At 53.1% G+C, this 10590-nt stretch overlaps 1 protein-coding gene across 32 annotated transcripts in view, besides 1 other annotated feature; it reads right to left on the reverse strand.

The window, feature by feature from the left end:
• The window catches only part of SHANK2 (SH3 and multiple ankyrin repeat domains 2), a 785381-nt gene that overhangs the window by 138598 nt on the left and 636193 nt on the right, over positions 1 to 10590 (reverse strand). The gene's annotated exons all lie outside the window — the stretch shown is intronic.
• Positions 5171 to 5934: an enhancer, noted in NCBI's record as "H3K4me1 hESC enhancer chr11:70457727-70458490 (GRCh37/hg19 assembly coordinates)". NCBI's record gives its function as "activates a minimal SCP1, AML or CMV promoter by ChIP-STARR-seq in naive H9 embryonic stem cells {active_cell/tissue: H9 hESC(naive)}" and the evidence as "EXISTENCE:reporter gene assay evidence [ECO:0000049][PMID:30033119]".

Genomic DNA, 10590 nt, shown 5'->3' on the forward strand with positions numbered 1-10590 from the left:
TGTCACGTGATTGTACCACTGAACTCCAGCATGAACCACAGAGTGAAACCTTGACTCAAAAAAAAAAAAAAAAAAAAAAAAAAAAGGCCCTAGCTTGTATCCTCAGCCTTACTGTGCAGACTTCAGAGTTTGAATCAGCAGGTCCTTTGTGGGGGGCCAAGTCCTGCAGTACAATTACCCCTCAGACTCCCCTCCTGGGCGTCTGTGTCTTTGAGGGCCTGTGGTCATCCTCACCATTTCTGTAACTTCTAGGTCCTGGCTTGGGGTTAGGAGCTGCCCAGGTGCAAGATGGAATGGACCGTCTGCTCCTTGGGCCTCAGGCGCTTCTGCAGTCCTGATTCCTGTTACTGGGTCAAACCGCAGCAGGAAGATACGGAAGGGAGGTGCGCTAGGTGATGTCTCTGAGCAACCCTGTTCTTCGGCTGTTTTCATCCTTCAGTGCAAAGCCCTTAAATCTCTGCACAGCCCTGGAGAAGGATGAGGCTCGGGACCTGAGTTCCCAGTCATGTCGTCTGTGTCTGCAGCTCCTAGACAGGTGCCTGGAGGGGCAGGCCAGCAAGGGGTGCCCACCCACTTGGCCCCTCCACATAGCCGGGGTCAGTGGAAGTCCAAAATCCACACTCGGATCTGAGGCCTCAGCCCTCTTCTGTGGCCCCTCAGACGGGGGCGGCCTTCCTGGAAACATCCGCCTTCCTCCCCGGGCACCAACAGCAATATGTGCCTTTTCAGGTCTGGGAAGAATGTGGCTCCGGGGTCTGGGTACTGCAGATTGCCCAGGTCACGTACCCTAGGTCCTAGGGGAATTTTAACAGATGAACTGGTTTCCAGGCTGAACTCTGAGCCCAGCCTCCGTGGAAGGTCAGAGGTGACCAGCTGGCAGATTCTAAGAACCTGGCCACTTTCCGGCTCCTCTCTCCCTATGTGCCTGCCCCACACCCAGCTCCCCAACCAAGTACATGCTTGGCCAGGTCTTCCCGGAAGTCAGAGGTGACCAACTGGGTCCTGGTCACCATCACACCCCACTCCCTGCCCTCAGGTGCCCATTCTGTGCCCAGCACCTGCACGCACACACTGGCTCTAGGGCCTGTTTGCCAGCATTTACTCCCTGGGCCCACGGGTCCAGGGACTTCTTGGAAAATGCCTGTGGCCGTCAGCAAACAGAGCAGATCAGCTTGGAAGAAGGCATGGCCTCCCTGTATACCCCTGGCTTGTCCAAGGAGAACAAGGGCAACTCCCAACTCCCCACACCACAGGGCCCCCAGGACATGCCACCATCCTGTGAGCAGGCAGTGGCCAGCTCTGCTCTGTGTTGAAGCAGCAGCACCGCCTAATGCCAGCCTGGCTGGCCAGTTCCGAGAGTTGGGGTTAAGCGGGAGAGGCCCCATGTGGTGGCCAGAAAGAGACCACTGAGTATTCTGTCTCTTGGACAACATATAGCCCCCCTTTCAGAAAGAAGAATCTGGTTCCAGCTCCATCCTTGCGTTCCTGTGGGGCAGCATGAGCAGCTGCTCATTTCCACAGTTGACTCTGACCAGAGAGGCTGAGTGGCTTGCCCAGAGTCACACAGAAAAGGCAGTGCCAGGGCTCCTGACCACTGCCCGCCATGTCCGATTCCTGCTGCCTTTGCCAGATAAAGGTAAATGTGCCAGCTGCTCTTGTGGGAAATCGGAATCTGACCCTAATTTGCAAGAGATTTTTCTTTTTCTTTGTTTTCTTTTAGAGACAGGGTTTTGCCACGTAGCCCAGCCTGAGCTCAAGCGATCTCCCTGCCTTGGCCTCCCAAAGTGCTTGGATTGTGGGTGCGAACCACCTCACCCAGCCAGAAGGGATATTTCTTTCCTCTTTGTGAAAAGAGCTACTATTTTCAGCTACTGACTGGGCTACAGGAGGAGCTCCCTAGTTGAACACGTAGGGGGCCTGCAGGCTTCCAAGGCCACCTGGCGATGGGAACTTTTTCTCTCGAACACCCCAGCTCCTGATGGGGGATCATGGGGTCTGGAGGGTAGGTCTGCACCTCTGAGTTCTGGGACCTGGGCTAAGTCACCCAGCCTTTCCCTGAGCCTCAGCTTCTTCATCTGTAAAATGGGGTCATGTAAAGGCTCTGCAGGTGGGCAGGACACAGCACTCGGCAGCAGGGAGCCACTGAGAGCTACTGTCCCTCCTCCTCTTGGCCGAGCCTGGGCCCCATCAGCCGCAGGAGCGCTGCTTCCTCAGGGCCTCTCTCCCTGCTTCACCCACCTCGACACGGGGGTGAGGGCCACGGGCTCCCGGAAACCCATTCACAGCCGAAAGCTCGTGCTATTTAGTCTCATCTGTGTGCAGCCGATCAGAGAATTGATCTCAAATTACAAACCTCTCAGCTAAACGCGGTCTATTACGCAAAACCTCATTCCAGCGGCTATAAATAACCCTTACAACACAGTCCCCAGGAACTCTCTGGAAAGATGTGGCACGGTTTTGAATAACGAGATAATGGAAACACAAACCCATGCTAATTAATTTCACTGCTCAGAGAGAGCTCGCTCCTCGCTTAGCCATGGTCAGTGGGACTCAATCAAGAAAACCCTGGGATGAAACGGGAGACGTCTCAAGGGAAACCTGTTGGCAGGAGGGCCCAGCCACGTGGAGCTGCAGCAAGTGGTCGCGTTGTTTGTTCACGGACCTGTGGCACCGGGCGGCCCAGAGAGGGCCTGGCCGGCTCCCACCTCTCAAAGCCCTGCTCGGACAATGCTGCTGAGGCAAGGCTCCGGGACGGCCCACCCAACAGAGGAATCAGACACAAAGGCAGCCCTGGGCTAGGTCTGACGGCAGATGGTTTCAAAGCGAAAGAGGAAGAATCCGAGGACTCCTGTTGCAGGGTCACAGGAGGCCCCAGGAGGTGGCTTTATCTGTTCAAATTAGAGACCCCCAGAAAGATGATGACCTGGCGTGTGAAGAAACCAGCATGGGTCACAGGAAGCATTCAGAGGTTCCTCAGTAAGTTAAACACCCAACCACCATGTGACCCAGTAATTCCACCACACAGGGAGGCAAAAACAAGCACGCACAGCCATGCTCGGAGCAGCCCCATCCGTGATGGCCGAGAGGCGGTGGAAACAGCCCCAACGCACATCCACTGGTGAATGAACAAACAAAACGTGGCACGTACAAATGATGCGGGATATATGATAGAATGGAATAGATACATAATATATCTATATTGTATATTGTATATACTGTATATTGTATCTTGTATATACTGTATATTGTATATTCATATACTATATTGTATATTGTATATACATGTACTATATTGCATATTGTATATACATGTACTATATTGTATATTGTATATGTATATAGATATACATAATATATCTATATTGTATATTCCATAATATACAATATGGAATATGTATATTATGGAATATAATTCGGGCATGAAAAGGAATGAGACACAGATCCACACTACAACAGGGATAAACCTTGCAAACATGACGCCGAGTGAAAGAAGCCAGGCGTAAAAGGCCACATTCTGTGATTTTATTTATAGGAAATATACGGAATCAGTGCATCCATAGAGACAGAAAGCTCACTGGGGATGGCCAGGGACCAGGGAGGGGTGAGGGGAGCGGCTGCCAGGAGGTTCGGGGTTCCTTTTGGGGCGGTTAACTAGGTCTCGGTGGTGGTCACACAGACTTGTGAATGTACTAAATGCCACTGAATTATTCCCCCTTTAAATGGTTAAAATGGCACATTTTACATTACATGTATTTGACCACAATGAAAAGAAAACAGTTATGGGACCAATGGGAGCTTTGGTGCCCCTAAAATTCCATCAGCATTGCCTGTTCTTAGGCTTGTTCACCTCTTAATACGAGGCGTGCAAACTCAGCTCCCAGTCCCCTCTTGCTGCTCAGCTGCAAAAAAATGAATTATTGCCTGGTTTTATGAGTCTAATGTTGTGACCTGCTCCTGCCACTGATGCCAAGGCCAGGAGGTCTGTCAGTCAGGGTGGCACATGACACGCCTGTGCCCCCGGCCAGTCCCACTGTCCCTGATCTCAGCTTCTCCCATGCAAACTCAGAAGCTAGAAACAGGCTGCTGGCCTTTGTTCTTCTCTCCCTGAATCCAAGGATGATGGTTTTCCAAGCAGGCTACATTTGTAAAGTAATCCTCGACTCTCCGTTTTATATTAATGAAAGCCAGCCAGAGCTGCTGATCGGCTCCAGCGGATGGGACAGGCCCGGAGAATTCCGTGGGGCAGCCGGCACAATGCCAGCCCAGAGCACAGAACACGGCATGGGGCTGGCGTGCAGGAAAACCAGGCACCCCTGCCGGCCCCTCTGGGCTTTCTGCATCTTTTAAGCAGCTCTCAGAGCCCACAGACTCCATTCCAGGGCCTGTGGGGATCCACAGGACTCATGCCAAGAATGACGGAAATCTTTCTGAGCTCAAAACTCTCTGAATTTGAAAAACAAATGGTCCTTTGAAGAACACTGCTTCCATATGGAACTATGGGGCACGGTGATCAGAAGAGCTCCAGCCTCTTTAAAAACCAGCAAATGATGCACCCTGATCCCTTTGAACGTCCAGAAAAAGGCTGAACCTAGAGCCATAGTGACTAAGAGGCAAATGCAGCCTTTCAAAATCTCCACAACCCAAGAATTGCCTTTTCACATGTGAAGCCAACGCTTCAGAATGCAAGAAAAGTGGCAGCTTTCAAAAGGAGTTTGGAGGTTCTCAGATTTAAGCGCAAATGCCACTTCCTGAGGCTGGTGCTAAAACTGCAGGAAAAGGCTGGTTGGCAGAAGCTCACAAAGGGGAGTTTATCAGTGTTGCAAAGGGCATGTTCACGGACACCTATTGGTGTTGGCCTTGTTCTCTGTGGGGATGGTGAGGCGGGGCCAGCAGCCTGCAGGGCTGTGGCATTACCCGTTCCTCGACAGTTTTCTCAACTCATCGTCACTCCAGCCAGAGCCCTGGGCTGCTCCCCACCTGCCCTGCTTCCCCATCTTCCCTGCAATGCCCCATGGCAGCCCTGGGTACTTGGTTACCACCCCACGACCCACGTCCTATCCTTCAGGGACTGCCTCACCTCTGGGCTGTTTGGAAGGACAGAGTGACATGGGACAGAAACAGAGGGTGTCTGGTTTAAGGGCTACTTCTGCATTTATCATTCCATTCTTTATTTTGGGTCTAATTCAAACCATGATTTCAAAAAGGCTAAGAATGTACAAAGGGAAGGGACCCACTGGCCCCAGGGCAAGATGGGAGGGTGTCCTGGTGGAGGTGTCGTCTGAGACTCCTTCACTCCTCTAGCCATTTAGGAAGAATTTCTAGGTAGTCAAGCACCCAGGATGGGCCTTCCAGGATGAATGGGGGAGTTTAGGAAACTGCCTTCGTTTCTACTGAAAATGGAGAAAAAAGGCAATTTTCAGTTCTTGCAGCACTCAGCAGTGTGAAACTGGGCTGCTGCTGAAAGGGAACGAGAAGCCTCGTTCCAAATTTACTTGCCATGGGAGGTGGGGGAGGGGGGGCGGGTGGCGAGGGGCGTGAACACTGGGAAGGCATCACAGAAGGGGAGCGTCTTGAGCGTTCTGCCCAAGATCCAGGAAGGAGGCGGCGTCCGGGCGTGACACAGGCCCAGGAGGGGAGCTGGATGGGGTGGTGGGGAAGTTGCCTGCGACTCCTGCCTGGGAACCAGGGGTCTGTGCTGGTGGTGGGGCCCCTGTGGGGATGTGTGTTCTCACAGAGAGGACTTTAATAAGGGTTTTGAAGGCGTCCTGCTGCTGAGTATGGGAACTCACACGTGCTGGGCAGGAGAGAATCAGGGCTGGGCTGATCAGGGAAACGCAGAGGGGAAAGGAAGCCTACCTGTAGCCCCCATCTCTGACAGAGGCAAGATGAACAAGCACCTGCCATTTACCTGATAGCAGCTGCATCTCTCGCCAGGTACAGCTGCAGGCGAAGGCATGAAAGGTTGGGTTTCTCTACATACGTGTGTACACGTATACATACACATATGCATGCGTGCATACATATTCTTGGGGGTGTTTTGCCTTCTTTGTACAATTACGAATATCTTTAGATCCATGCATACTTTCTGATGGAACTTCATCCCTGAAGTATGCATACTGTACAGGCAAGGTTAAACGAAACTCCACGAAGAAAAATGCAAAACGCTCAACGCTCCAGAAGCCCCCAGCGGCCCCCGGCAGCCACCTTCCTCCCTGCAGAGGCACCCGGGGTCTGCGCGTGCAATTCCCGCGCTCTATCTAGCACTCACTGTCACCTGCTCACTTCCTTAAACAATACATGGATTCCCTTTGCCTTTTTTCAAATTTTACAGATATCATTTTGGCCTTTTTTTCTTTGGAACTTTCCATACGCAATATCAGACTCTATGTATTCCTCTGTGGCCTCCACGTTCCCCTCCACAGCATGTCTGAGATTCACGCGCCTTGATGAATGCAGTTGGCATTCATTCATTCTCCCACCAGCGCACTGTACTCCACGTGTGAGCAACTCACGGCATCCGGATCCTTTCTTGTTCACAGGCACTTGCATCATTTCCAGCGTCTTGCTGTTATGAACAGAGGTGCTTGGAAACTTCTCGTGTGTGTCTCCTGGCCCACGTGGGAGAATGTGTCAGGGGTGTGTGCCATGGAGTCACATGCTGGTTTGCACAGCAGGTGTGTCTTTCATATTAGTGGGCAATGACTACTGTTTTCTAAAGAGGTTGCAAGATTTGGGACTTTTTTTCATGTTTTTCTTTTTTCTTTTTTTTTGAGATGGAGTCTTGCTCTGTCGCCCAGGCTGGAGTACAGTGGTGCGATCTTGGCTCACTGCCAGCTCCGCCTCCCAGGTTCATGCCATTCTCCTGCCTCCGCCTCCCAAGTAGGTGGGACTACAGGCGCCCGTTGCCATGTCCAGCTAATTTTTTGTATTTTTAGTAGAGACAGGGTTTCACCGTGTTAGCTAGGATGGTCTCGATCTCCTGACCTCGTGATCCGCCCACCTCGGCCTCCCAAAGTGCTGGGATTACAGGCATGAGCCGCCGCACCCGGCCATGTTTTTCTTTTTTTAAAAACAAAGTGTAGAAACTCAAAAGGCTCTGGAAGACCTGGCCATGTGCAGCAGTGTTATGAGTTAAACTGTGTCCCCCAAAAAGAGGTGTGGAAGTCCTCACCCCAGGATCTCAGGAGGTGACCTTATTTGGAAGGAGGGTCATTACAGATGTAATTAAGATATCAATTAATGTGAGGTCATAGGGGAGTAGGGTGGGCCCTACATCCAATGACTGCTGTCCTTGTAAGAAGAGGGGAACTTGTTTTTTTTTTTTTTTCTTTGAGATGGAGTCTCACACTGTCACCCAGGCTGGAGTGTAGTGGCACAATCTCAGCTCACTGCAACCTCGGCCTCCCGGGTTCAAGCAATTCTCCTGCCTCAGCCTCCCAAGTAGCTGGGATTACAGGCACGCACCACCATGCCCAGCTAATTTTTGCATTTTTAGTAGAGACAGGGTCTTACTATGTTGGCCAAGCTAGTCTCCAACTCCTGACCTCAAATTATCTGCCCACTTCTGCCTCCCAAAGTGCTGGGATCACAGGCATGAGCCATTGCGCCCAACCAGAAGAGGGGAATTTGGACACAGACACACAGGGAGCCCACCATGTGACAATAAAGGCCGAGACTGGAGCCAGGCAGCGCAAGCCAGGGAAGGCCAAGGAGTGTCAGCACCACCAGAAGCTGGAAGAGGCCAGGAAGGGCCTCCTGGAGCCTCTGGAGGGAGCGCTGCCCTGCTGACACCCTGACCTTTGTCTTCCAGCATCCAATGACACAGTAAAAGTTTGCTGTTTTAAGCCAGACAGTCTGTGGGTTTTGTTTTTTTTTTTGAGACAGAGTCTCCCTTTGTTATTGGGGCTGGAGTGCAGTGGCGTGATCTCAGCTCACTGTAACCTCCGCCTCCCAGGTTCTAAGAGATTCTCCTGCCTCAGCCTCCAGAGTAGCTGGGATTGCAGGCGTGCCCCAACATGCCTGGCTAATTTTGCATTTTTTAAGTAGAGATGGTGTTTCACCATATGGGCTAGGCTGGTCTCCAACTCCTGACCTCAGGTGATCCACCTGCCTTGGCCTCCCAAAATGCTGGGACTGCAGGCATGAGCCACCATGTCCAGCCCAACCTGTGGTTTCTTAGCAGCCCTAAGAAATAAGTACAAGCAGCATTCCAGGCCCTTCCTTCATCCCATCCTCCAGTCTTTGTCTCAGTGACCAAATAGGCCTTGGGTCTGTTGCTGTGAGAGCAAGGATGACCAAGCCCTTCTGCAGATCTCCAAGAGTCTGTGTGCTCCTCTGAGCCTGGGGTGAGCCTCTGAGCCCTTCTCAACACAGGGCTGCAGGCCTCCCCTCCCCACTAACTTAACAACACGGGAGTACTGGATGTCCCCATGGCCGTGTTAGAGGTTTCTGGAGAGGGAAGAGGAAGTGGGCAGCTATGCTGCTCCTGGCTGGGGGGCTGTGGTCCCAGGGCCTTGCTTTAATGGGTTAACTGGAAAGGCAAAAGGAAGGAAAGAAGAGAAGCCTGCTTAGATTGGATTCCCCCCATGCACAGAACCCATTCGTGGACATGCCATCTGCAATGCTTCATGGAAGACATCTTCCGATGGCAGAGGGGGATCATGAACTCAACACTCAGCCTCCCTCTGAACCAAGAGCTGTTGGGGAATGAGTAGGGGGTGGAGAACAGTGGGTGGGCCTAGAAGGAGAAGCTGAACATTGCCTATACACCTCTGCCTAATGCAGCCCACACCCCGCTCCTCCTGGTGGACTCTGTGATGAGGGCCTGATACCTGGTGTGGGACTGTCCTCTAGGTGGCCTTGGACGAGCCCAGTTCTCCCCTCTCTTTTGCTTTCAGTTCTTAAGAATAACCATAGAATGTGCTAGAAATGCAACACCCCGAGAGAGGGAGGGCTGACTGGAATAGCCTGAGCTCTGTCCCAGTCTTCCCCGGAAACATGATGTCCATCAACACTTTAGTCCAAAAGTCATATGGCCCCGGGGTATAAAACCCAGGAGGAGCTGCTTTCCAGGGTCCCTTAGTGGCGGCGCAAGGGAGCACATGCAGTCAAGACTCCGGTCAGCTTTCCTGAGCCTTACAGGCTGGCTCGGCCGAATCCCAGGCTTCTATTGTCCCTTGCTGCATATCTGTAAGCAATGAACCAGTTCATGGAACTCGCTGTGTGGGCGGCTGGCTCACCAGGCTAGGACAAGGTGGTAAGCGGCGCGTGGTGAACCTGCTCCACACCTTGGGGCAGAGCTGTCAGGCCATTCAGTCCAATCCTGGGGTTTGGTGGTAGAAGGAAGCCCACCCACCCACAGGTCTAAGCCACCTTGGCCGGTATTGGCTTTGTTGGCAACAAGGGAGGAACTTGCTCTCTGTGGCTCTTACATCCTCGGTCTGTCTCTTTGTTGGTTAGTGGGGAGGTGAGGGTGGGCACCAGCATTTACTGGGGCCACTCAGACCCCAGCTGTCCCTGAGAGGGCTGCTGAGGAAGGAGTGGCAGACAGCGTGGATGCCGAGACCAGAGCCTGCCTCTGGGAAATGGACAGAGGCCTTGGAACCCATCCTCCCTTCACTGTCCTTGCCGTTAGGATGCCCTTCCCTGCATTCAGGGCCTCAGCTGCTCATCAGGATGGGGGGCACATGAGATTGCCATTCTTGTAGGTTGATAAGAGTTCAATATTTGCTAGTTTGACATGATGCAACTGAACGGACCCCACGGCCGACTGCTCCTTGCTCCGATAAGTAGCTACTGAGCTGAAGGTCCCCGAGAAGTCTCAATGAGCAGAAGGCCCAGGCCCTGCGTCTGTTGGCGACCCCACACTGGGCTGTCGGAACTGGCTCCAGGGACCCCAAGAGGAGGCCCTCCCCAGCCTGGGAGGGGCCTGGATGGCACCTCTGAGTTGGGGCCTACAATGAGATCAGAGGGTGAGCTGAGCAGAGGATGTGAATTCGAGTGCTAGGACCGCCCGAGGAGGGCGCTGGGTGGTACTGGGGAGGCAGAGACAACTCAGGAGGCTGAAAGTCCAGGGATGAGGGAGGCAGGGCCAGGCCACGAGGACAGAGGAGGCACTGTTCCCCACAGACCCTGGAACCAGGTCCCTGGTGCCCAGTGCTGGGTCCTGAGCAAGTTCTCCTGAGGGTTAAAACATTCACACCTGAGAAGGAAGGCAGGGTGGGGTGTGGGGGGATCTGAGGCCTCCGGAGGCTGCTGGGTGAAGGCTGGGAGTGCCAGAAGGGAGTACTTCCAGGCTGGGGTGGCCCAGAGCCTCTCCCTGGCCCAGGGGACTCCTGCCAGGCTGGCTCCTGACCAGTCCCCAGGCGAGGGGAGCCTGCGGGGCGTCCCCCGACAGGGGCCGCTGAGGAAGAGGAGATGACAAATGCCCCGCAAAGGGCCACAGGGTGCAGCAGCCAGGGGCAGAGCCGTGTGTGCTCCTGTGTGTGTCTATGATAGTGTGTGTGTATGTGTGTGAGACAGTGTCTGAGAGTGTGTTGTGTGTCACTGTGTGTCACTGAGTGTGTGCCTATGAGCGTGTGTGTCTATGAG

The sequence above is a fragment of the Homo sapiens genome, chromosome 11, assembly GCF_000001405.40.
Source record: "Homo sapiens chromosome 11, GRCh38.p14 Primary Assembly".
NCBI lineage: Eukaryota > Metazoa > Chordata > Mammalia > Primates > Hominidae > Homo > Homo sapiens.